Raw genomic sequence first — 27,535 nt, forward strand, 5'->3', positions numbered from 1 at the left:
TATATTCCTTGGTTCTCCACATATGGTTAAAGGTATTAGGTATAAAGTCACTAAACTCCTTGCCTCTCATGAGCAGTGAATCAGGAGTATCAGATGCATTTATTTTGCATAACTCTCTACACAGTTCACAGCAAGGACTATCAGTGTTCTCCACACTATTAGAAGTAGAGTCCCTAGCATTTTGGCGTCTAATCATATTTAGCAGCCAACTCCAGAAACCCCAAAACCATCTAAAGAAATCCATCCGTAAAATTCTGTTCCTCTAGAACCACTCCTGGTACCAAAATCTGTATTAGTCAGGATTCGCTAGAGGGACAGGACTCACAGGTGAGATGTATATATAAAAGGCAGTTTATTAAGGAGAATTGACTCACACAATCACAAGGTGAAGTCCCACAATAGTCTGCAAGCTGAGGAGCAAGGAAGCCAGTCCAAGTCCCAAAACCTCAAAACTAGGGAAGCCGACAGTGCGGCCTTCAGTCTCTGGCTGACAGCCTGAGGGCCCCTGGCAAACCACTGGTGTAGGTCTAAGAGTTCAAAAGCTGAAGAACTTGTAGTCCAATGTTCGAGGCCAGGAAGCATCCAGCACAGGAGAAAGATGGAAGCCGGAAGACTTAGCCAGTCTAGTCCTTCCATGTTCCTCTGCCTGTTTTTGTCCTAGCCATGCTGGCAGCTGATTAGATGGTGCCCACCCAGATTGAGGATGGGTCTCTATCTTCCAGTCCACTGACTCAAATGTTAATCTCCTTTGACAACACCCTCACAGACTCACTCAGGAACAATACTTTGCATCCTTCAATTCAATCACATTGACACTCAGTATTAACCATCACCCTAGGCTTTAGGGATATAGGGAAAAACATGACTCATTGCTGTTATCTGAGAGTACATAATCTATTGGAAGAAAGGAAAACAGTTACATGTAAGGCTTATATCAGTATAAATTAGATAACTGCCAAGTGAGAGAGGTAGAGGTAGCAAGTGCTGTCTGTGGGTGCATGTTAACTCAGTCTTAATCTTGGAAGAAGTGGCAGTGTGGAATGGTACATGGAGAAGCAGAAGGGACAATTACTGTGAGCAGATGAATGGCTCACTACAGGGGCATGGGAAGAAGATGCAAGAGCAGTGGAATCTTTAATTGACGAACCTGGTACCAAGCTGCCAAGTCTTAGTCTCAGGACTGGCACCGTGCACTTGGCCATTGAAAAGACTTTGGAACCTGTGGAGTGAAGAGTTGTAGGAATTTTCAAAGCCTCAGTGTAGGAACAATGTGAGAATCAACCAGGGCATGGTACTCCACACTGTGTTCAGATCCACTGGTGTTAGGGGAGTCCCAGAGAGGCCTCTTAGAGGGTTGAGGAGGATGGGATCAGGCATAGCAGAGACTAGGGACACGAGGCTCTGCGGCCAGACTGCAGGTCTGCTACCAACTACAGTGTGATTTTGCCTAGTCACATAATCTCTGTGGGCCTCAGTTTTTTGTTTTTTGTTTTTTTCTATTACAACAGTACCTTTCTCGTGGAGTTGTAGTGATTAGATATCTAGTACCAAGACTATGCTTGTTAGCACTGAGTAAGAACTCAATGAAGGTTAGCTTTCATTGGTACTATATTACTATTGTTAGTGTTGGTGGTGGAGCTGAATCGCCTAACCTATGAGGTTGGTGCTGAAATGAAGAAAAGAATAACAGTGTTTTAAGAAGTTTGGTCACTAGAAGTGGAGCTTAGTAATTAAAGAAAAAGAGTGAACACTTTTACCTTCTTGTGGAAGTTAGTAAGTCTACAAAATGTTAATTCTGCATTTGAATGATCATTTGGGAGACTCTTATTGTCCTATTTGCACTGAAAAAGTCACTGAATCATTATTTTAGAACTGGAATAACACCTGAGATCTAGGCCAGCACTTTGCAAGTTGTGCTCTATGGGACTTTTCATGGAAGTGGCTGAGGAGTTGCCTTGAAGGAAGGCAGAGGGAGTGGGTCTTGGGACACCCTTCCAGTTATAAAACAGGACGTTGATTCTGTTTTGTAGTTGCAGCATCACATATAATTTCATTTATTAAGAGGATCCCACTTCTAAAAATAAGTTGAAAACCAGTGATTTAATCCAGCCTCTCTGTTTGCATATGAGGAAATGGAATTCCGGAAAGGTTAGGTGATTTGTCCAAGGTTGCAGACTAGACTATTTATTAATAGAGTAGGGTCAGGAACAAAAGCCTGCTCCTTGCTGGTCCAGCGCCTGTTACTAGTTACATAATGAATGCTACCTATTGCTGCACAGTGCCAAATCATTGCACTTTTCAGATTTTACTCTAATCAAAAGAAAAAAATTAAAGTGCACTTCCAAATCAGTACTTATATGCAAGAGCTTCAAGAAACAAACTAGTATTTAACTTGGTGGTTACATATTGACTGTATTTTCATTGAGTGAGGTTAGAAGAGATTGAGAAGCGTGAAATGAAGTTACAAAGTAGAAACTATATGGTGAACTCAAGGCAAAGATTGTCCATAGTAAAAGAAGACAAAATAAGAATGAAAGAGACAAAAGAATTGCCAATGAGTTGTAATCTTAAAAGAAAGATATATTTAATAAAATAGGATTGATTGTTTTGAATGTGGGCTGAGAAGTCCTGCCATCTTCCATTGACTCTGCTCACAGGCCTTGTTTGTGAACTGGCTTCCATGGATAGCATTACTCTCCTGACAGCTGCAGCTCCAAATTCAGCATGAAAAGGCTGGCAATTCTAAGAGGAAGGGAGGGTTTAGGCCACTTTTAATTCTACTTTGTCATTGCAAGTTTCTTGCATTGTTTGGCATTTGTTGGTCTTCCTTACTGGATTTCAAAACTAGAACACTTTTTCCTAGCCTTGGAACCAACCACGAAAATAACCACCTCTTACCCTCATGAAGAACACTTTAAGTTTTTCTCTTTTAAAAATGAAGTCTGGAATATCTCCAAACATCTTGTCACTCACGCCTTCATTTAAATGTCACCCTCTCAACCACAAGGAAACTAAAATTGCCCCCTACTTGCTACTCCCTGTTTTATTTTCTAGTAGAACATACTACAGTTGGAGATCATCTCATCCATGTCTTTTATTCTTGTCTCTTATTTGCCTCTGCTTGACTGTAAGCTCATGGAAAGTAAGGGACCTTCACCAACTAGCAAAGTGCTTAGGACCTAGTAAGAACCTGGTCAATTCTAACTGAGTGAATGACTGAATTCCTGTGAGAAGTCAACATGAAAATTCCTAGGTCATTAGTTTAGTTATTGGAACTCCAACACTGTATTGGAAAAGTGTCATGGAAAGGATAGTTAGTGGATTAAGGTTTTTTATAAGAGGAAGAGGGAAAGAAAGGCATTGTCTTTACTTCAGGCATTTCAATGGCCATGATGGAGCCTAAATATTGTATGTTGCATTTTGTTTTGGTTTTGTGTGCACAAGAGCTTTGCCAGTGGAATGAACGGGTTAAGAAATGTGAGTTTTCTTTTCGTCCTGCTATAGAGACTTAAGGAATTGCCCTGTGTGAGTTCCTTGAGGGCAGAGAAAAATACAAATCCATGAATACCTGAAAGCCCTGATTTGGCCCCTAAGCAATCTATGCATGTAACAACATTGCATTTGTACCCTGTACATTTATAAACATTTTAAGAAAAGTATAAGAGAAACACAAATTTTGGTTACTCCTCTCTGAAAACTGCTCTGATGTCGCTTGGCCGGGGGAATTAAGACCTCTTCCTGTGGCCTGTGGCCACTATGTGCTCCCGGCTCTCCAGGCTCATCCAGGGCCACTGTGCCTGGGGTCACAGGGTTCCAGGATGTCAACCTTCTTTCAGCTTCTCTGACTCCTCAAGCATTTTTTTTTTTTTTTTTTTTTTTTTTTGGTTTCCAAGACCCAAACGCATGTCTCTCTTCTTGGCACACTCTTCCCAACTTTTTTCCTGGCTAATTGCTAGTTATTTAGTTTGAGATTAAATGTCACTCCCTCGGCCTGGCGCGGTGGCTCACGCCTGTAATCCCAGCACTTTCGGACGCCGAGGCAGGTGGACCACGAGGTCAAGAGATCGAGACCATCCTGGCCAACATGGTGAAACCCCGTCTCTATTAAAAATACAAAAAAATTTAGCCAGGCGTGGTGGCATGTGCCTGAAGTCCCAGTTACTCGGGAGGCTGAGGCAGGGGAATTGCTTGAGGAGGATATTGCAGTGAGCTGGATCGCACCTCTGCACTCCAGCCTGGAGACAAAGTGTGACACCATCTCAAAAAAAAAAAAAAAAAAAAAAGTCACTCACTCACAGAGGGCTTCTCAGATACTCCCCTGCCCCCTCATTTAAGTTGCACCGCTTGTTGTATTCTCTTATAAGCCCCATTCTTTTTCTTCTTGGCATTGATCAAATTAACAGCTTTATTTTATTTTAGCATTGTGAGTGTATATGTGTGTTTAATGTCTGCTTCCTGACTAAACTGTACCCTGCAGGAAGGCAAAACTGTGTCTGTGTTGCTCATTGTTAAACCTTCAGCACTGAACTCAGTGCCTCGAACATAGGAGATTCCAACTCAATATTTACTGCGTGAAGGAATGAATGAATCTTTATGTCCCTCGTGCCTAACATAAAGTCTGCCATATACAATGGACTAAAAAATAGTATTCAGCTAAAACTGAGTTACGGAGAAGATGAAGTATTAATTGTATTTTTTACAGAGAAACAATGGTCAGTGTATCAAAAATAGAGACCCTGCTCTCAGATATATAACATAGAACTCTCTTCATTCATTTGCCTTCATTTTAGTTAACAGAATCTGTTCATCTAAGTAGAGCAGAGAAAAACTTCATAATTGCTGTGTCTGTGTTATTCCAAAACATTTAAACAAAAGGTGAATAACTGAGGTATTCTTCCCTGTGGTACATACTTGATGTGGGCATTTTAAAAGATTGATCAAATCTCCTTTCAGCTGGATATTTGAGTAGGCACAACCATTACAGAATTTTCCTCTAGGGACTTACTTTAGCTCTTAAACTATGTAAACTGAACAAGCAAACTCAAGTGGATCATTATCTATAGAAGTATAGAATTCCATCTCCCTTTGGCAAACCATTCAAACCCAGAAGTGTGTTTTACACATTCTGACAGAAGCATCTGTAATAACCAACTCTAACCTCCTTTCTTACCACTTTAGCACCCAAAAGTATAAGAAAAGAGGACATGTTAAGGCTTGTTCTATTTATTAGAAAATATATAAAGAGTTCTTGGCTTAAGAACTCTTCTGGCTATCAGCTCCCTGATGTGAAAAAAGTAAATAGCAAGGGGTAGCATGGAGTCTTACTCCCGTGTGACAGACAGCTTAAGAAAGACAATTGGACATCATGTGACTACATGATTCAAGCTAAAGTCCAGACACATCTTTTCCATAGGCCAATTGAACATTTTCTCTGTAATTTCCACAATAACCATTTGCACCAGCATGAATGGAGAGGGTCTGAGTTCTTCTGGGTGAGTAAAGGGTGTGTCAGTTATCTGTCCTCTGTCACCAGGATTTAGAGGCAGGCTCATAGTGACTCTTGTAAAGTTGAGGTTCGCCTGTGGAGGCTGCAAAAAAGAGGGAGGAAGAGAGAGTGAGGTTCCTCTTGGCTCTGTGCCAGGGATGTGATTAGAGGACCCTGGGAGGGCCTTCATCCTACGAGGGGTTGGAAGTGGAAATGGATGTGTGTGGATGACCTGGTAACGTGTCACAGCCCCTTCCACCCCATAGTAGTCAGGGATTTAATGCCTCAACAAGGCAGGTCTCTGAAGGAGACTGACTTTTCTCTCTCTCTCTGAATGATACTGCCTGAGAGAAATACTCACTTCCTGCTTTGTTTTCAACAAGTATGGACTTCCTTACACAAAAAGAATCTTTTTTGCTTTTGTCCCCCCATTTCACTGGAAATCTATCCACTGGGCACCACTGTTGGTCGGCTTCCTTTCATAGATTCCTTTATGTTTCAAATTTTAAAAAGACAATAATAGCAACAAAGTGAAATATGGATTTAAGCTAGGAAAAGCAGAGAACTGAAACTTTTTTCCTGCAATCATACTTCCCAGCTTCTTCAGCAAGATCTGCTTGGCTGGGAACATGCCTTCTGAGAACTTTACATTTCTAAACTGCTGCTAAATTGCTCCATGCATTTATTCCTCAAACTCTCAGGGAAGATAGCACTGGCTTTCAGTCTCATACCAACCATTCTTAAGGTAATGGACCAAAAGTCATTTCCACTTGAAATATAATCCTTCTAAATGAATCATGCAACATGGTTTTTACCTCCATTTTTTCAGAATAACTCTAAGATGATGATCCTCTGGCCATATTTTAAAAATTTCTCTTATTTGTTTTAATTTTCTTCCATTTTTTCTTTAATTTTGTATCCAGACACTGCCTTCTCTAAGAGGAATGACATTTTTGCGGGTTATCATGATATATTTTTAGCCCATTTGCCTTGACCCATAGCTTACAACAGTTAAAGAACACTAACATATAAACATAGAGTTTTGCCCAAGGCCATTAGCTTTGCATGTTAACAAGTGGGCAGAAGGAAGGCTGGGCATGAGAGAGACATGCTGTCCTTCTGGTGAGATCATCAATCCCATTCTTGTAACCTTCAGATCATTGCATTTGTTCAGAATCGTCTGCAGAGGAAAACATCTCAAAGTTGGGAGGTTGTTGAAGAGTCAGAAACAAATGGGTCCTGGGTAATTTTTCAAAACAGGCTTTTTGTCAATTGTCAGTCAGCTGTTTAATATTGTCAATTGTCACTCAGCTGTTTAATATTGTGCTTTGTTATAAGGATAGGCACTGTGGTCTCAGCGTTCTTAAGCTTTTACATTTCCGTTATTTGGTTTTACTTCTGCATTAGTAGAGTAGATGTAGAGTAGATGCCACCTCTAGGAACTCTACCAGCAGCAGCATCTTAGACTAGAAGCTCCCTCTCTAGGACTATAATCTCTGTAGCCTCCACTTCTCCCACCCCTTATTTCTTCTGAGCCTACTTGGTCTTTGATACTTACTATAATACTTTCTATTCTCTTATCATAAACAGTTTTCTGATTTCATTTTCCTCTGGTTTCATACTAAGCCCCATAATCAGTCACTGCAAGATTACCTTCTAGAATTTCTGTGCCCTCAAGTTTTCTCCATATCTAGAGAGTCAGTCATCTGCCTTGAGCCACATCCACTGTCTACTTTCTTCACTTCCATCCCCAGGCTGCCCAGCACTGATGAAAACAAAACAAAAACAAACAAGCAAACAAAAACAAAAACAAAAAACTGACTAGGATCTCAATCTGGTTTGCAAATCCATGCTTCTCTTTCTTGACTTCTTTAGACATCAACAGAATTGACGCCTCCTCTTGACCTGGGACACCCCTCCTCCTTGGTGCTTTCTTCTACCTCCCCCTGCTTCTCTGTATGTCTTTTGCAGGCTCATCTTTCTCTTAGGCTGTCTTCCCCCATCTCTCCTCTCCCTCTGTGCACTCAGGCAGTCTCCCTTGTCAACCCCCAAAACTGCTTCTCCAGACCCCAGTGTTTCTCTGAGCTCCAGGTCCACAATTCTCTAAGGTCCATGTGGATGTCCCTCACCATTTCAAACTTCTCTTCCACAGGGAGTCCCTGGTTTTCACTACCATAGCATATTAAAATACCATGCATTTCCCTTCATACCACTAATTACAACTTTGTTTCTTTTTTTTAAATTTTATGTTTTAAAAATTATCTTCTGCCCACATATATTGTAAGCTCCTTTTGAGAAAGACACATTGCTGTCCTGGTCATTACTATATTCTTATCAACTAGCAGGGGCCGTGGTCGGGGCTTGTGTTAGTCCATTTTGTGCTGCTATAAAGGAATACCTGATGCCAGGTAATTTATAAAGAAAATAGGTTTTATTTGGCTGAGGGTTTTGCAAACTGTACAAGAAGCATGGCGCCAGCATCTACTTCTGGTGAGGCCTGAAGCAGCTTTTACTCATGGTGGAAGGCAAAGAGAGAGCAGGCGTTTCACACAGCAAAGGAGAGAGCAAGAGAGATGCCAGGCTCCTTAAACGACCTGCTCTCCCATAAACTGAAAGAGCAAGAACTCACTCATTACGGTAGGATGGCACCAAAACAGTTGTGAGGGATCCACCCCGAACACCTCCCACCATGCCCCACCTCCAACACTGGGATCAAATTTCAATGTGAGATTTGGAGGGAACACACATCTACCCTTTATCAGTGCTCAATAAGCTCGCTGAATGTAGAACAGTGATATAAGGCAGGGGTGGGCCAAGTATAGGCGACAGGACAAATTTGGCCTGCTACTGCTTTTGTAAATAAAGTTTTATTTATTTACAAAATAAATAAATAAATACAGTCATAATCATTGGTTACATTTTGTTCAAAGCTGCTTTTGCATTAAAACATCAGAGTTGAGTAGCTGCCACAGAGACTGTAATGGCCCCACAAAGCCTAAAATAGTTACCCCGTGGTCTTTTACAGAAAAAGTCTGATATAAAGGACAGTCTCACAGCACAGAGGAAAAGCATATAACCCAAAGGAGGAAAGAGTAGAGCATAGTGGACTGCAGAGAAGTTTCCCTGGACCCAATCTGTGCCTTGAAAGATGAGAAGGACACCTCCAAAGGCAGGATGGGGGTGAGGTGGGGTGGGCGGTGGTGATCCAAGCAGACAGCACGGGCAAGTGTTCTGGAAAACTTGCCTTTGTTCACAAGTATCCTGCAGTATAAATTGCAAGGTGGGCAGTAAGAAATGGACTTGAAGAGATTGAACAAGGGCCAGAAACCCAAGGACATTGCTAAGGAGTTTGTGCCTTAGCCCATCCAGGGCCCTAGCAGCCTTGACTGATGCTTCTGAGGTCCTGGAGGCTCCAGGCTCAGGCTACCTTCCCATATTCTCTGAAAATAATATCACATTTGTTTAGTAAAAAAATTGTTTACTAAAAAATTAACCTCTCAGAATTTCTGCATTCACATTTATTTCTTCTCATATCCTCGAGTTAGAAAAAGGTATTTCTCTCCTGTGATGATATTGATTCTGCACTCATCTATTTTCATTACTGTCTCCTTCCCTCCCTCCCTCAGTCCCTCCCTTAGTCTATCTCACTCTACCATCTTTTCCTTTGGACCTTCTGACATTCAACATCTTGGTCGCTCCTATCCAGCCACACCTCTGACCATTCAACCATTTGTCCTCTTGATTGGTTCCACCTTGTCCTATCACGCTGGATATGCTGTTGCTCCCAAATTGCCTCCCTCTGCCAGTTTCTTGCCCCTTCCTCCTTCTGTCTCTCCCTCTCTCTTTCAATCTTTCTCTCCCTCAGTCTCTCTTTCTCTTTCCCTCTCTCTCAATCTTTCTCTTCCTCAGTCTCTCTCCCATTCTCTTTCTCTTTCTCTCAATCTCTCTCTTCCTCTCTCTCTTATCCTCTCTTTCTCTCAATCCCTCTCTCCCTCTTTCTCTCTCTCAATCTGTTTCTCTGTTAATCTCTCTTTCTCTCTCCTTCTTTCTGTCTCTGTCTCTGTCTGCCTCTCTCTCTCTCTCTCTCTTCCCTAGTGAGCTCACTTGCTTTCCCAGTTTCAGTGATTTCTATTCAGATATCTCCAAAATTTGTATTTCCGGATATTTTATGCTTTCATGGAGGCCGTGTAAATTGGTATAACCTTTTTGGAAGGCGTTTTGGCAATACTTAGTAAAAGGTTAAATGTTTACACCCCTTGATTCTGCTATTGTATGTGTAAGGATTTTTTCCTGCATACTTTTGTAAGTGTAGAAAATATATGTATAGGAATAATTGCACATTGTTTGTTGTAGCTGAAAATTACAAATAATATAAATGCCTATAATCAGAGCAGTTAAATACATATGAACACAGTGAAATACCAGGCACTCATTTAAAAGATGAGGTATATTTTAACAAGCCTATTTGAAAAGATACCCAATCTTAGCAAGTGAAAAAAAAACTCATCAAATTGATATATTTAGCGCTGTCCCTCTCTCAAGTTTCAGACCCACATTTTCAATTTTCTGTTGTCATCTTGACTTAGTCTCGTGAAATTTTAAACTAATCATTTTTAAGGGAAGATATTTTCTTCCCTTAAAGATGAAATTCAGACAAACCTCTGAATTTCCCTCTTTCTGCTAATTTCTTGCTTTCTTTTATCATCTTTCCATCCATCCTAACATACAGTTCCAGAGGAGTCTTTAAATCCTTCCTTATTGCCTAACACCGAGGATCATTTGCTGAAATCTTGTTGATTTTTCCCTCAGATCAACAAAGGATTTTCAGAATAGCCCTGATTTCTCTTTATCACCACGGTGCTGTCTCACGTCTTCTCTCCCCCTCCTCCTACCTGCCGTCTCTTCCAGACTCGTCTCTCTCCCCCAATCTCCTTTGCGCACTGATGCCAAATTAGTCACAACAAAAGTGTTTACGTGATCGTGTCACCCACTGGTAAGCTCTTAATGGTCTTCCCTTACACATTATCTCCCATTTCATCTCAGGAGCCTTTTATTAACCACTCTTCACAGTCTGACTCAGCCCTCTTTGCCAGTTTCTCTCTTTACAAATAGCAAAGTCTATGAGCTAGATTACTCAATATTCCCTGAATAGGTCTTCTCTTCTCCCACCTCTTGGCCTTTCCAGTACCATTCAATCTTCCTGGAAATTCCTGAAATTTCTTTCCTCCTCACTCAGTCAATGTTTTGAGACCCACATCAAATGCTACATACTATTTGTTCCTTTACTGATCATGCCAGTTGGAAATGATTCGAATCTGTAAAGCAGGGTGCTATGGAATGACATTTCTTATAGCCCTTTGGTCATTTGGGAGCAATGTCTAACATAATATCCTCCAGGTCCATCCATGTTGTTGCAAGCGACAGGATTTCCTTCTTGTTAAAGGGTGAGTAGCATTCCATTGTACATATATTCCATATTTTATTTTTTTTTGCTCATCTGTTGATGGTCACCCAGGTTGATTCCATATCTTGGCTATTGTGAATAATGCTACAGTGAACTTGGGAGTGCAGATATCTCTTCAACATATTGATTTCATCTCCTTTGGATATATACCCAGTAGTGGGATTATTGGATCAAATGGTAATTATATTTCTAATTTTGGGCAGGGTCCTCTGTAGTAGCTCCATAATGGTTGTAGTAATTTACATATCCAACCAAGCACGCCAGGGTTCACTTTTCCTCATGTCCTCGCCGACAAGCCTGATATTCTTATTTGCCTCTTAGCGCTTCAGCCTTTCCCTCGTGACTTAACGGTGACTCCCTTGAGACTACTTGAAATAATAAGTTTGGATGGCAAGGAAATACCCTTCTGCTGTCACCCTTTGCCATAAGACTGAGTTACTTTGTAAACAAAGAAGATTTACTTGGTCTTCCATGCCCAAGACCCTTTTACTTTTCATCGCTTAATATTTCATGGCCAAAAACTGTTGGTTCTTCCAATCTTGTAAGGCCATTTATCTTTGATCTTGCTCCATTCCCTTCCATTTTTGCTTGAGAATCATTCAGTTCTTGCCTGATCTCACGTCTTTCTCGCAACACCTTACTAATGACTGCCAGAGTGTCCACTACACACTATCGGTCTCATTTGACCACTTCCCCAGGCATGTAGCCTACCTGCCAAGTTCTTTCACAGCAGATATTTTGCAGTGTTGTAAGAGGGCTCCCTAGCTTGCTATGTTTTCTTACTACCTGGCATTAGGAAGTAAACATTTTTCATGGCAGTATTCACTTCTAGTACCAATTTCTTTTTTAATCTACATGGGCTAACTGCTGTATCAAACAGCCATCAAATCCCAATGTTAATTGCAACTTACAGTACGTTGTGATGTTTCTGTCTGTATACTCATTCAGACACACAGAGTTTAAGTAATTTGTTCAAGATCACAAAGTTAGTAAATGGTGGCATCAAGATTTGAACCCAGGCAGCTGGACTCAAGAGTCTAAACAACTTTCATTTTAAAATTTTCATCTTTCAAGATATATCACTTACAATTTCCATCTTCATCACTTTCTTCCATACTTCAGAGCTGCATATGTAAACCTCTTGATCATATAAATATTTATGGAGTCTCAGCATTTTGAGCACATGCTGAGAGATTTTGTAGCATTGAAGATAAAGAAGCTCTTTCAATACATCTAATCTTGCCACTATTGATTTTGAACAGCATCTTAATTTGTTACCTTTTTAAAACCATATTGTACTTTTCTTCAGGACAGCTAAATTAAATGTCTTATGTTGATCCCCTGGGTTTTCTCAGTTTCCATTTATCAGTTTCCTTTTATATAAAGAGATGCTAATGGGTAACCTTACATTTTGTAAGGCATATTTTTGAAGATATACAAGTGAAGGTTTGATCTGTACACCCTCGTTAGAGCTCTTTATTTTACATGTGGAGGAAGAGATGCCTTAGGGCTTCTGAAAAACAGGCTTTTATTTTTATAGAGGAGAAACTTCCAGAACATGCCATGAGCAAATGCTCTGTCAAGTCTGGTTCTTTCCCCCATTACTTAAGTGCAAATGGACCACATTTGAAGAAGATAAGTAGCAGAACAAGGCTCCCCACAAGGGGATTTTGAGGTGCTCTGAAAACCAGACTGACATAATCCATGGAGGAGTTCATCACTGCAGGCTGTCACGTCTCACAGTGGGAGTCATAGGCTGGTCTGCTTGATAAACTACTCCTGATCTATGACTGGAGCTGTGTGCTTCCTTTAAAAATAAATCTTGTTTTTCCATGCCCCACGTGCTTCTCAGCCTCAGGAGCACCTCATGGATTTAGACTAATCTTGTCTTTTACAGTCATGTTACTTCCAGATTCCTAGGAATCACCCCATTTCTGATGCCGTTGATCCATCCATACCCACTGAAATTGAGCTAAATGCTCTAGTCTGATTTGCCCCTTGAAGTTAGTATAGAATATTTTGGCTAGACTTTGAAAATGAAGCCCTGACCACAATGCATAATGACCTCAGTAGACACTGAAGAGTTCCTTTGCATCAGGCAAGTGACAAGTATCTATCTCATCTTCAAAGTCCACATAGATATGTGCCAGATTGTAGGTTGACAAATCACTTTTTCACTAGCTCACGTGGCAAGCCTTTTCACCTTGTAATAATGCTAGTGAGAGACCCATAGGTACCACATAATTGGCCAGTCATTGAGATTCAAGCAACATTTGGATAATTTAGCAAAACTATCATCAGAATCATCAAAGTACATAATTTTTATTTATTATGCAAATAGTGGATTCACTAAAGTGCTTAGACCAATTAAGTTGCTCCCATTGAAAAACAGGGTGATTTTATTCTTAAGAATATATCAGGATAAACTTCTTGTAGCCTCTAAACAGTACTGCTTAGAAAAGTGCAGCTTCACTGCATTGCATATCCCCCCAGAAGCCCTCAAAGTTCAGATGTACACCACAAAAACATGAAGCACATGTGTTTGCATGGAAGGTAGGCTCTGGGGTCTTCCTATCATAATATGTCTATGATTAATAGTCAACATATGCCCCCTCCACATTCCCTAAAGGAACATACACATGCATACACACACACACACACACACACACACACACACACGTGAGAACTGAATTGAGAGTTTGGGGTATACACCATCCCTGAGGGCACAGTCTACAGCTCCTAATGTGTGCTGTAGAGCAAGCATTATATTGTTGACAGGTAATAATTCCTGGTTAGGAATAACAGGATACCAGTGAGAAGAGGCTGAGAAAAATACACTCTTGCTGGAAGAGTCAAGAACGAGCTCTTCGTGGGAAACTATGGGAGACGATTGAAAAAGGACAAGAAGAAAGGAGAATTGTTAAGTCTCCACTTTCTCAGTTTCTGAACTGAACTTTTGCTCACAGCAGGTGAACACAGGCTCCCTCCCACACTGAGACTTCCTCCCCTGCCGGTGTGCAGTCTGTTAAGTAAACAGAGACGTTATACTGAGAAAGGAACATTTCTCTATTTTGGCTATGAGTTGTTATTTTTAAAGATTCATCCTCCAAACATTTTCCCCTATCCTTGTTTATTTTTTCACTAGAAAGAAGATGAACTGCTTAAAAAAAAAATTCAACTCCATGACAAGAAAAACCCACTTCTAGTATGTTCTCCCCACTCAATGCCAATGGAGCCTTTGGTGTGAGCACTCTGCCAGCCACACATTGGGCAGCATACCTCTTGAAATTCCTGCTGTGCTTCTATAGAGCTTCCATGCATCCAGATTTTCAAAGTCAAAGCAAAATGCGCATGGCAGTTTTTTTCTGACTCCTTCAAGTTAAAAGGCCAACCTCTCCCTTGACATATCCATGTATTTATCAGTATATCTATAGGTAATACTTAAAGGTGATCCTTACTGTGTGCCACACTCCATTCTAAGCACTTTACATAAAAAACCTCATTTCACTTTATTTGGGAATAGGATGACAATTTCTTCAATATTGAGATGGGTTGAATCTGGGGAGACTGATGTTAGATGCAAAAAGCTTTCTTTCTAGAACTTTTCCTGTGTCTTGCACCTGGCTTTCTCCCTGTCTTGTTCCCATTCTAGATCTCTTTACTGACAGTGCCCATGGCTTTCTTCTTGGTACTCTAGTGTTGAGCATAAGAACTAGTATGTAATAGGCTCTCAGTAAATCTTGTTGAATGAATTAAAGTAGAGCAAGAATTAAAGACAGAGAAGAAGATCTTCTTGTTGGAGTTCTTTCTTTTGGTTGATAAGCAATGTGATTTGACGTAACAATCTTGAGTCCTAATCCCCTCATTTGGAAAATGGAAATAATAATGCTAATCTTAGAGGTCACTTCTAAGAAGTATATGAATATATCAGAAGTAATCAACATTTTTAAGTCAAAGAAAAGAACGTCTGTGAAAAAGAAAACTAATGAGCTAGTTGAAAAAATATTAATTGGATCTTTTTCTCATACCTTACGCCAAAATAAATCCCCAAAAATGGTTGCACAACATTGTGAATATACTGAAATCCATTGAATCACACTCTTTAAATGGGCAAATGTTATGTTATGTGATTATCTTTCAATAAAATTGTTATAAAAATGAATAAACCCCAGAAGATCAAAAATTTAAACATAAAAGCATGGAAGTATACTAGAAGGAAATATAAGATAATTTTATATGTTATGTTGTATATATTTATATGTAAAATTTTTTTATTTATTTTTCTTTGCTTTTAAAAGCAAGACATAATGTTCTAGAGGAATAAATGAAACGTTCGATAAATTTAATTCTCTATTAAATGTTTTGCAGAAGAAAATACCAGGAACAACATCAGAAGAAAAAACAAAAAACCATAAGAAAAACAATTAAAAATACATATGACAAATGGCTTATTACTATAATATTTAAAGAACTCTTAAAAATCTATGTGAAAATGACAAATAACAGAAAAATACGTGCAAAGGACAAGAGCAGGCAGTTTAGAGAAAGCCTATACCAATATATTCTCTTATCAACAGTCTATTGTACAAGCTATTTGAAAGCAATGTTTGAACTATCAAAATTTAAAATACATAAGCCCTTTTATCTAGCAATTCTACTTCCAAGAATTTATTCTATAGCTATCTGTACACATATCCAAAGACATAAACATAAGGATAGTCATTGAATGAAATGTTTTTAACAACAAAATACTTGAAAGCAAAGAAATGTCACCCAAGAAAGAAGTGATTGAAGAAAGTTTAGCATTCAGTTCAGTGAAGACATATTGAGCTGTCAAAAAAAGTTGATGGAGAACTCCAAGGTCTATTAACTAAAAACAAAACAAGGTGCTAAACAATATGTTTAGTGTTCATATTTTAATTGTTTATATATTTCACAAATATATATTTGTGCATGCAGAAAATATTTTAACTTCTTTCTAACCCCGTCAAACACATCATGCCAAAATTCAACTTGTGATAAAGAAAAAAATAAATGAATTCCTTTCGTGTGTAGTATCTCATTTAAATTCTTCAACAACCCAATAAAAAAGATACAGACACATGTTTTTAAGTACTACATGTTATGCACCTTTGGTTTGCTTATTTAATAGTTGCAACTACTAATGTTAAATTCTTGATGCCAAGGTTAAAAGCCTGAACTTCTAAAAATATCAAGATCTGACATTTTTCTGTTTTCACAGATTAATCTGCCATCTCCTGACCTCCAACACACTGCTCTATGTTCTTTCATGCTGCTCCTCCTCCCATGTTTAGGACCCTCTTCCAAGGAGGCATTCACATCTCTGCTTGATGAAACCCTACATTATCTTAAAGCGTCCACTCGAATGCCACCTACTTATATACCATCTCCTGCAATACCAATGGGCTCAGCCCAACCATAGCCCATAGTTATTGTAGTTGTTCTTGTACTTCAAAAGCACTACAAAACACAACCATCAGGACTTGTTACATTATTTGAAGGCTATGAGCATCTTCAGCCGAGGCCCTGTTTTTATTCCCAGAACTACCACATTGTTTAGAATATAGTAGCAGATCAATATACGTGTATTAGATAAATCGTTTACCCAGATCTTGATCATTTTCAATTACCCATAGGTTGAAGAACTCCATATTTAACATGGCAGACTTGAGGACTGAACTACCTACCTCTTCTAAGAAGTTGAAATGAGAATGTTTTATTGATGGGAAATTATTTTTTTGTTTTGCCTTCTAGAATTCAAATGAATGTTCATATTCCATGAAGACAATGGCTGATAGTTTTTTGTTAAAGATTTAGAACCAGTGGATTTTTATGAATGTGAACCCTTTCATGTCTTGTGGAAGATTTTCTGTTTTTTAATCTTTTTATTTATTTATTTATTTTTGCTATGTTTTCATAGGAACCAGGGAAAATGTGTAGAGGGCATGGTGGAGATCTTCGACATGCTGCTGGCTACATCATCTCGGTTCCGCATGATGAATCTGCAGGGAGAGGAGTTTGTGTGCCTCAAATCTATTATTTTGCTTAATTCTGGTGAGTTGATAACACAAGATAACTCAATGCTGGATGAAATGTTTATTTGTAGTTTTCAACCAGATACGATCTACCCACTCCAAAGGCATAATGTCATAAATAGAAAGAAACTACTGACACACGTTTTAAAATAACCTACCAACATTGCAGATTCCTTATAAAGGTAGAACCATGCTAGCCAAATAGACACATGAAAAATTGTAATTTGGCATTGAATCAAATGGCCTTTGAGCTAAAATTTTTGTATGCTTTCACAGATAGGATGTTTTTATTCAAATGGTACATGTATATAGACATATGTTAGTTGATAGTTATATTATGTCTGAAAATAAGTAGACCAAGTAATTCTGTTAAGAAATTGTGACCAATTCCAGGCTCCAGATAGTAAAGAAAGAGGGTTATTTGAGACAGACCATGTTTCTGGTCAAAACTGACTAGCTAAAAATATAGTTGGCTTAGAGATAGAAAAACCTGTTTCTAAAACAGAAGAATGTGGAATGCAATAAATTGTCCAGCTGAAAGAACATTTTCCATTTGCTCTATGAAGTCTGATTCTACTGCCCCTTCGTATTTATTTGTTTGAGAAAGCTTAGCTAAGAGCAACATCTGTTTTTTGTTTTTGTTTTTGTTTTTGTTTTGTTTTTGTTTTCAATGTAGTGAGGCTGGCTGTTGTATAAAGAGTTACTCTATGTCACCAAGATGGAAACTATGGTTCAGCCTGAATTAGTGCCCTGACTCCTCCTAGCCTCTTGGTATTTGGATCTAAGCTCTAGCTCTACAGCCTCTGGGACCTAAAGCTCACATTGGGTATCAGCGGTACAGCAGCTCCCCTTAAGCTCCACCTTTCCCCCTGGCTCTAACCCCACTTTGTGCCTCATCCCTCATTCTCACATAGAAATCATAGCTATTTCGAATCTCTGGGCCTGACTTAGTTTCTTATGCCATTAGACATAGTCTCAAATTCCTCAATAGCTGAATTGCAGCTTGTATTGATCACATACATAGAGAATCCGCACTTCCTTCTCTTTCCACGTGTTTTTGTCTCTTTCTGATGAGTGCTGATCCCTTCCCGCTTCCCCTAACAATTTTTTACTTTTCTTCCCCACCACTGCTAGGAACCTGTGTTGCTTAATGGAATCAGCCCTTCCTTCTCTTTTCTTGTGTTTTTGTCTCTTTCTGATGAATGCCAATCCCTTCCCACCTCCCATGACAATTTTCCACTTCTCTTCCCCACCACCACTAGTAACCTGTGTTGCCTAATGGTTATCACAGTAATCATTCTCACTTATCAACTAATAAATGGAAATCTGTACTATTACACTAGGCAAGGACTGAATTACAGAATGAAGTCCCATGATAAATGATGTGATCCACACTAAGGAAGTGATTACCACTCCATTCAGGTTTCTGTTTCCACTCACGTGCATTGTGCTTTTCATTTCAGTCGTTTGTCCTGTACATTGTAGGGTCCAGATCCCACAATGGCTCTTTATTGGATGAGAGTTCTGGGAGCAGTGCCACTCAGCTACATGGTGCCAGGTCCTGAACCTGTGCCTTCTTCGGTGGAGGGCTGGCACGTGCTGACAGCTTTCATGTGGGCAATCTGGGAACTTCAGAGAAGGCAGGCCTATTAAGTGTTAAGACTCCCCACCCCGAACTTTTACTGAGAAAAAGTACCCCAGACAGGAAGTAAAATTAGCCAGAGTTGTATGATCCACACAGTGGATGCTCTGATCTCAGTAATAAAAAATATTTCCTCCAGATCCATATAGACTTTTCCTGCATTATTGTTTTGTTTCTGTTCCTATGGCAGAGTGAGTTTTTAAAACTATTATGCAAGAAATATCAGGATTTTTGCCACCAAAAAGTTGGATTCATAGACCCAGGGTTTTTACAACCCAGGGGGAAAAAACTTTCAGCCCTCACAAGAAAGTATTTTATTAAAGACTGGCACCCAAACCTCAAGACTATATTTCTCACTGCAGGATTTGGCCCCTGTCTGCCTCCTTCTCAGACTAGTTAAACTTTCATACTCCATCCTTGTTCCTTCGCTTCTTTCTTAGGATCTTCTGTGCACTTCTTTCTTAGGATCTTCTTGGCACTTCTTTGCTCTTGAAGGGCAGAAACGCTATTGTAGAAATTCAAGGCACTGTATGCTGACATAGTTTATAGTTGTCTTTTTCATGAGATAACACAGCGGCTGGCAGCTCCTCTTTTCTATCAAGGACAGTACTGCTGGCTCAGGAGAGCAGTAAGCAAACAGAAGCTGTCTCTCAACCCTGTACAAAGCGAAACCACTCTTTTCCCTACAAAAGTGAGCTGTGCCCCAGAAAAGCGGATCTGCTGCTGAGCAGGGCTCCTCATGTCTCCTATTGTTCCTGAAAAACAGCATCAAAGAGGGCAAGACTGACACACAATGTTGTAGCATTAGGAGCCTTTTTCAGAATAAAAAAGCAATCAGTCATATGAAGCATGTGGTCATACCACAATCAACAATTTTTCTCCACAACTGGAGATATGGATTTTTCTAAAAGTCCAACTGATTCATGGCCCTGATACGGGGCAGCTCTACCTCTCATGAGACCAATGACCAAGTGACTCTGACTCCAGGAATCTCTGACAGAAGCCAAGCTGGAAACGGCTCAGGAAACCTGAGCTAGAAGATGCCTTTCTGACACCTGGGAAACAAAACCTCAGTGTATGGAGGAACCCAAGGTTTTGTGTTGAGCCCCAGTCGCCAAGGTCTGAGGAGGCTGGGTTTATATTGGCCCCGATTTTGTGGCCGAGGCACAAGGGGAATTGAAAGGTTGTTGTGAGGACCTGCTCGGAATGTCTTTCTGGAAGTTTGGAGAGGGTCTCTCAAATGCCAAAATTTCCATGGGAAGCCATTTTCACAGCTGCTTGGGAGTGGGAGATATTCGTCATCATTTCTGCCCCATTTAGAATAATTTATTACTTTGCTTGCAAAAACCCGGAATCATCCATAGGACACACGTTGTTTGTTTTTCCACTCCACACCAAAGGACAGAGGCATTCCTGGTTAATCCAAGATGCCAACTTCAAGACATTCTGAGAACTAGCTGGACAGAGCTGAAGTGTAGGGCAAATCAGAACAGAAGTGATGGGCCCAGGGCAAAAGCCCGTGAAGCAGCAGCTGCGGAGGAAGGATGGGAGCTGGAGCTGCAAAGGGGGCCATGGTGGAGACTCTGGGCCTGCCCACAGTATCCCCTCTGCCCAATGGGAATTCAGTTTTCCTGCATATCATTCAATTATTTCTCATTTTTCTAGGCCTAGCTCACCTTATTCGGGAAGTTTTGCGACTACCCCAGTCCATAATGAATTTCCTCTCTAGACTATTTCAATTCTTACAGTCACTACCACACAGTCTAGGATTTGGTTAGTTGGTTGATTTCATTCATTTATTCAATAATTCAATGTTTATTGAGTTCCTACTATGGACTTTGTGCCAGGTATACAAAACTGAATGTTACTGTTGTGTGGGGTTTTTTTCTTTGCATTTTTAAAGTTAACCTGGATTTTTCTCTCACTCTTTATGCATGTATTTCCTAATCTCCCTATAAACTATTTGTATTTTTTTGGATTCCTCACAGTCTATTTAGCCTGTGGACTGTCAACAGATGTTACATCATTCAGTCATTTAATAGATGCTTATTTGCTAGACATGGCCAGGAGGACCTGGAAAGTCCTCATTTTTCCCATCTGTTCTTACCATTCTGAAATGTATCATGCTCTTCAGTGCTCCACAGATCTAGATGATATCAAATTATTAAATGGAAAAAGCAAGACCCATCTCCTTGGGTTATTGTGGATAAGGGGGAAATTGTGTAGGAAGTGTCTATTGCAGTTCATGGACCATTGTAGGCCCTTAGTCAACAACAGCTATCATCATCACTGATGAGAATCTCTGGCTTAAACGGAGTAGGTTCATGCCTTTTTTCAGTGTAATGAAGTGTTTTAGTTTAAAGGCCTTTAGCAAGGCTTACAATAAAAAAAAGTGGGGACTCCAGGGTAACACCAACAATAGAGACGACCATGGCTGTTATCCTGAGACTATTAATTATGCCACGTAATTAGATTTAGAGAAAACTTAGAGCAACATTTATCTTGTGGATAATAATTGATTGTGATTGGGACTTACCGTTGAGAGACCCTGATGAAAACTCTATGGTGAATTGCTGTGGAGTCACATGGGTTCATGCATCATTCATCAGTGGGCCCTGGTTTTAGCCTCATAACCCCTGAGAATCCACCTCTATCAGAAAACCACCCTTTCAGTGAAAGTTCCTCAAGGCTCAGAAAAATTCATATGTCAAAGCTTTATATGTAAAAACCTATACTCTCTAATAAATGTTTGGTTTGGCCTTCACATTCAATTTAATAATTATTTCTACCTCTTTTCTAAACCGCTCTTAACCACAGTTCTATATATTTAATTCTGAAGAGCCTCATGCACCTCCCTCCCTGGTAACTTTATCTACTTCTCTCCCTGGAGAACCAGCCAGACCATGATTCCAGCCCTCTGTCCTCTCTTCAACCGTAGGTCCTCTTTTTCTCTCCTGACTCCTCAAACCTTCTCCAGTTACCCGGATGCCTTCTGTGTGCTGCTGGCTTCTGCATCACTGTTCACAGGGCCACTTGTTCCCCTGGAAATGTCTTATGCTCTTGAAATGCTATAGCCTTGTTCACCTGTTCATCCAAAACTGATCCTCAGACAACATTTCTCTTTCAATTGGTGGAATAATAAAGAGGAATATGGGTCAAAATTCATAGACATTTAAATACCCAAGGTGCAAAGTTAAGAGAAAACAAGATAGGAGAAAGAATTATGGCAACATCTCTAAAATGTGTACTTTAGTGTTTAGCAAAAAAGGGACTATGGAATGTCAAACAGGAACATATATGTTAAACATAAACATGAAGCAGTGCCAGCTGCTGTCTGCCATATAGTCATGCTTTGTTAATGTGGCACATCTTGCCATGATGGTGCCCTCATGAAACGAAGGATGCTGAAGCAGATGCCATTCTGTTTGCTTTGATCAGAAGCCACTCTCTGGTCAAGGAAGTATTTGTTTCATGCTTAATTATAACAAGTTCTCATCACAAAGATTATTTTCTTTCTCCAGATCTGGATTGTTTGCACTCACTTTATATTATTAGACAATTACTCAGATTGTTTATGTTTTTATGTTTAGAAATAAGACAGTGATTCAGAGAGTCCCTGTATTTAGATGAAAGAACATTTTTTAAACATATTGACTGTAAACACTGAAAATCATTAATTCTCAACAGTTGAAGGTTTCTGACAGGAACGGCCCTTGGAAATTGTAAATGGGCACATTGTCAGGTATGCCCATTGTTGTCACATTGGAGAAGATTGGATTCTGTTCTCTCTGGAGTCCTTTGTAATGCCAAGCTTCCTCTCCAGGGAGCTGGCTTATTGTCATTATTTTGAGATAAATGGCACTTCATAGTATTAAGTGGTTCATTGTCTCTTCTCTGGCTGACTGTATTCTGTAGGCAGCCACTCAACTTTGGAGCCTTTCTCTGCTACCAACTTTTGGTGTTGCCTTAAGCAAGCCTCATGGCTCCTGTTAGTTTCCTGACAACATGGTATAGCATGGACTTTGTCATCAGAGAGGACTGAATTCAGGAGAAGCAACTCTGCCACTTCCTTGGCGGAAGGGGGATGACTGATGTCCTTTGATAAGCTGCTTCCCTGAGCCTAATAAAAAAATAGAAATAATGATACTTAAACTCATGGAATTGTTGTGACAATTGAAAGAATGACCAGTTAGTAAAGCATCTTGCACCATGACTAGCACACAGTAGATGCACATGAGTGTTACTAAGCTTTAGTTATGCCCTCCAAATACAAAGCCTTAGTTTTGTCACTATGAAAGAAATTACTCTGTTCTTCTTAGCAGGTAATAAATAAATCCCTGCCTGGAAATTCTGCAGGAGAATTTCACCCCTGCGCTTTCAGGTTAAAAGATTGCATTCCCATGATGAAGATGTTCTGTGAATAGAATCATCTCAAGTCCCAAATGGTGTGGATTTGCTCCTGCATCTTGTTGCAGAGATTCTCTTGGAGCTTCTGAGAACTGGGGAAACCAACAAAATGCCTGTAGCCTGGGGAAAATGTAGGGAGTTTTAGCATGAATTTGTGGGAGGTGAGAAAAGGCAGCAGGTGTCGAAAGACGGGAAATCCTTGCACTGTTCTAGATGTTAGGAGCCATTTTCCATTCACATTCAGCACCTCAGGAGGAGAAGCTGCCTATCACTTTGTGTCCTCAAGAGAACCAACAAAGGAGAATGCCATCTCCCAGATACTCAATTTGATTACCATTTTATCCTACCTTCTCTAGGGTCCAGACATTATGTAAATTGGCATTAAGTTTGAATAATGTATGGACCCAGTTTAAAAGGAAAAAATGCTTTGGGAGGCTGAGGCAGGTGCATTGCCTGAGGTCAGGAGTTCCAGAACAGCCTGGCCAACACAGTGAAACCCCATCTCTACTAAAAATACAAAAAGTTAGCTGGGCACGGTGGCGGGCACCTGTAATCCCAGCTACTCAGGAGGCTAATGCAGGAGAATCACTTGAACCTGGGAGGCAGAGGTTGCAGTGAGCCAAGATCGTGCCATTGCACTCCAGCCTGGGTGATGAGAGCAAAACTCCATCTCAAAAAATTTTTAAAACAAAAGGAAAAAATGCTCCCCTGATTCCCGCAGTGCTGACTTAAAATGTTCTTAGTATGCCAATGTTGCTTAAATATGAATGACTGTAGCTTCTACTTAAATTGGCAACCGCACCAAATATAAACTGCAAATGTTTATAGCTCTTATGGAAGTATAAAAGCAAAACAAATTCTTAAATTAAATACAAACTAAGAGGGAAACTGATAATAACAATGTTTTGTGTAATTAAGTTGCTGTTTGCAACATGCCTGGGGCAGACTCCTGGCCTCTTTGCATCTGACATGAGAGGCTACCAAGGATGTGGCCACAACTGGGCTCTCCCAGCACTTGCTTGCGCTCAGAACTGTGCCAAAACCTTTGCTCGCCCAGTGTTCTGCAACGTCCATCATTTGGATTTGGCAGGAACACATCATTTATGCATTTTGTTTGCTTCTGTATTTAGTTGAGATACTTAAAATATAACTGCTAGATTCTAAGGCATTCATAAGCATCTGTGAAAAATGTGTTACTTAGGAAACAGTTCAGGGTTCCATGGATTATCTAGATTGGTGAGTCTTAAGACTGACCACACAATTCATCTGGGGGTGTGGAGGAGGGGAGCTTTGAGAAAAATCTCTGTATGAGCACCCACACCCAGAGATTCCTATGCAATTATCCCAGAGTGGTGCCTTAATATCAACATTTGTTTAAAACCATCCCCCAAGACTAAAATTTGTGACCGGGATTTAGAACCATTGACTTAATTGATGCAGAACACTCTGATATTAATGTCTTCATGTCTTTTGGAATGTCATTAAGACAAAAGCATAAAATTTTAAAATTCTTAAAGACAATTTAAAGACCTATGAGAATCCATCTTTAATTCTCAGGAGCGTGTGGAACCTAGTTTGAAAACTACTGGCATCGACAATTGAATTTCCACTAAAATAAAATAGCTCTCTAGTATATTACAAAACTACCCATTCTGCAAACTGCAGGGGAGCTACTGATAATGCTTGGAACTGTGCCAGGCACTGCCTGCATAAAAATGAGTAAGGTCCACTTCCTCCATGGACTGGGTTGGGTAGGAGGCAAAGATAATTAACCAATTATTTTAATATTATGAGTTCAGGGTTGTAATGAAAGTAAGTATTGAGTGCTGCAGAGACCCAGCAAAGGAGTCCTTAGCTGAGAACTGATCCTTTGCTGAGTGACGAGGACATTATTGAACCGCCAGGCTTGATGGCATGTTGCATGGTAACAGACCAGTACACCAAACAGCAGGAGCTGTAGCAGAGAAAGAGTTTAATAATTGTGTGGCAGCCAAATAAGGAGACAGAAGGAAACCTTAAATCCACCTCTTGAAAAAGTCTGGGACTAGGCTTTTTAAGAGAATTCTGGCAAGAAGGAGGCTGAGGAGCTGGGGGTAACTGATTGGTTAGGACATAGGAGAGGAGACAATAAGGATATAGAAACTCCATTCTTGCACTGGGTCAGTTCCTCGGAGGGGGTCCTCACTCTGGCTGGCAGCAGTGAACCCATTGGAATGCAGGATCTGAAAAATATCTCAAAATGGCAAACTTGAGGGGTTTTTTTTAGCATCAAAGATGTTATCTATAGAAGTTAGGACATTGTGACAGGGGCTACGTGACTTTGAAGTGTTAAGTGGCTGTCAGAAAGTGAGCTATTGCAGCGGTCCCCAACCTTTTTGGTACCAGGGACCAGCTTCATGAAAGAAAATTTTTCCACAGATGGGGTGGTGTAGGGTGGGGTGGGGGATAGCTTCGGGATGAAACTGATCCACCTCAGATCATCAGGCATTAGTTAGATTCTCATGAGGGGCACACAGCCCAGATCCCTCACATGGGCAGTTCACAGTAGGGTTCACAGCCCTATGAGGTTCTAATGCCACTGCTGATCTGACAGGTGGCAGAGCTCAGGCAGTAATGCTTCCTTGCCCACCACTCACCTCTTGCTGTGTGGCTCAGTTCCTGACAGATTACGGACTGGTACCAGTTTGCAACCCAGGCAGCTGGGGACCTCTGGGCTGTAGGGTAGGCTGGTTAATGCTTAGCTGTGTTTCTATTCAAAGCTTATGCTTTTGTTTAAAACCTAGTAATTTGGTTTTGTTAATTTTATGAAGATGATTTCAAGGATGAGTAGGATTAGCTGGAGTCAGAAGGACACAAGGGAATTTCTGGCAACAACATTAAACTACCAGTGAATGTCTCATCAAGTCACTGGACCTCTAATTCTAAGCAGTACTGTCAACCTTATAGGTTATGATGTATAAGATAGTGTTGTGATGTATAAGATAGTGCAAAAACCTAAGTTAATATCACCATTTCTGTAGTACTCTCTATTTCAAAGGAAAAAATCTTCAGCAGTCTAATATCCTACCAAAATTTTGAAGTCAAGACCTCCCTACACTAATCAAAGAACTAGAGGTGCAATCAGGCCATATATTTGGAAAGGCCATAGGTGCCCTCCCTCTGTCCTTGTTCCCAGCATACTAAACTATAGTCTAAAAGACTTTAAAACTTGAACTGAAGAAAACCTTAAGGAAACAACAACAAAATTCCATTTATTTCCTGAGCCCAAAAGTAGAATAATTGTTTTTTAATGAATTTTTCTTTCCCTGTAAGACATACTATGAATTGTTCAATGGGTATTCAAAGCATATGTAATAGAATATGTATGCTTTCCTGAAAAATTGAAATGGAACATCAAACTGTTCTGTAAAGTTTTGAGTCTAGACCAAACTCACAGCACTTAGCCAGAATATGTACATCTGCATCTGCCACTCATGGCCCCATCGCTCCCTCCAACTGCTTCTCTTGGGCTGAAGGATGGAAAAGCAAACTCCCTGCGTTGAGTTCCATCTTGCCCTGCATGGCCTCCCCCATGGGGTCATTGAGCTCCCCACCAGCTTCCACCTCTTCCAGCACTTTCCGCCAGAGGGCCCGTGGCTGCTTTTGCAGACTGAAATTGATTGTGGTTGATTCAGCTCCATTTCCTCTGAGTTTTTACTTTAGATGTGCTTTTTAGGTTGCATTTTTCTTCTGGCATATAAGAAAGACAGCAATATTCCATGGAACAGAGTGATGTCTGTGGCTTTGTCAACCGTTGTTTGTTAGCTTGATCACCATTTATTGAGTGTTTACTACTTTCCAGGCATTGTGCTAAGTGGTAGAAATACAAAGTTGCCTTTACTTGATTCATCTGTAAAATAGAGAGAGTAGTAGTTCCTACAGTGTGGTTTATGTGAGGCATAGGGACTGCTCCCTGAAACCTAGGGACAACTCCCTAGCAGCGACCCAGTGCTCATATCAATAGTGGTAACAATTAGGAAGGCAGCTCCTACCTCAAAGACCTCATGATCTGATGGTAAAGACAGATATAACAAGAAAATTATTCTTTTTAAATATAAAATTGTGATATAAAAATAGTTTTCACTAAATTGGATTTTTATGAAATTTACAGAAACAAAATAATAAATTAAGGAAATATAAAACCACCTGACATTAGCCAACCATGTTGATGTTCTGATTATGTTACTGCAAAGGAGTGTAGGGTTAAGAACGAGGGACTTTGATTCCAAGATCAAATCCCTTTCTGCTATTTCTTAGCTGTCTGACTTTGGGCAAGTTGCTTAAACCCTTTGTGCTTCTGTGTGCTTGCCCATGAGATGGAGATTATAATAGCGTCTACCTCATAGGGCTATTTTTAATACAAGTTAGCTCTTAGAACAATACCTACTTAAACTAACAATTTGTATTAGGTACTGTTTTATTCTCCATCCGTACTGTGTATG

General features: G+C 40.1%; 1 protein-coding gene across 33 annotated transcripts in view, besides 1 other annotated feature; it reads left to right on the top strand.

Moving 5' to 3' along the window:
- Positions 1-27,535, top strand: part of ESR1 (estrogen receptor 1) — a 472,948-nt gene that overhangs the window by 387,429 nt on the left and 57,984 nt on the right. For all 33 annotated transcript variants that reach the window (XM_047418290.1, XM_017010377.2, NM_001385568.1 and 30 more), the window contains one exon: positions 16,891-17,024. In XM_047418290.1, the coding sequence (XP_047274246.1) occupies positions 16,891-17,024 (134 nt within the window). Of the gene's footprint in view, positions 1-16,890; positions 17,025-27,535 lie in introns of those variants that run through there.
- Positions 9,978-11,177: an enhancer, noted in NCBI's record as "CDK7 strongly-dependent group 2 enhancer chr6:152375213-152376412 (GRCh37/hg19 assembly coordinates)". NCBI's record gives its function as "activates an origin of replication core promoter dependent on BRD2, BRD4, P300/CBP, MED14 and CDK7 cofactors, with strong dependence on CDK7, by STARR-seq in HCT116 cells {active_cell/tissue: HCT116}" and the evidence as "EXISTENCE:reporter gene assay evidence [ECO:0000049][PMID:35650434]".

The sequence above is a fragment of the Homo sapiens genome, chromosome 6, assembly GCF_000001405.40.
Source record: "Homo sapiens chromosome 6, GRCh38.p14 Primary Assembly".
Lineage (NCBI taxonomy): Eukaryota > Metazoa > Chordata > Mammalia > Primates > Hominidae > Homo > Homo sapiens.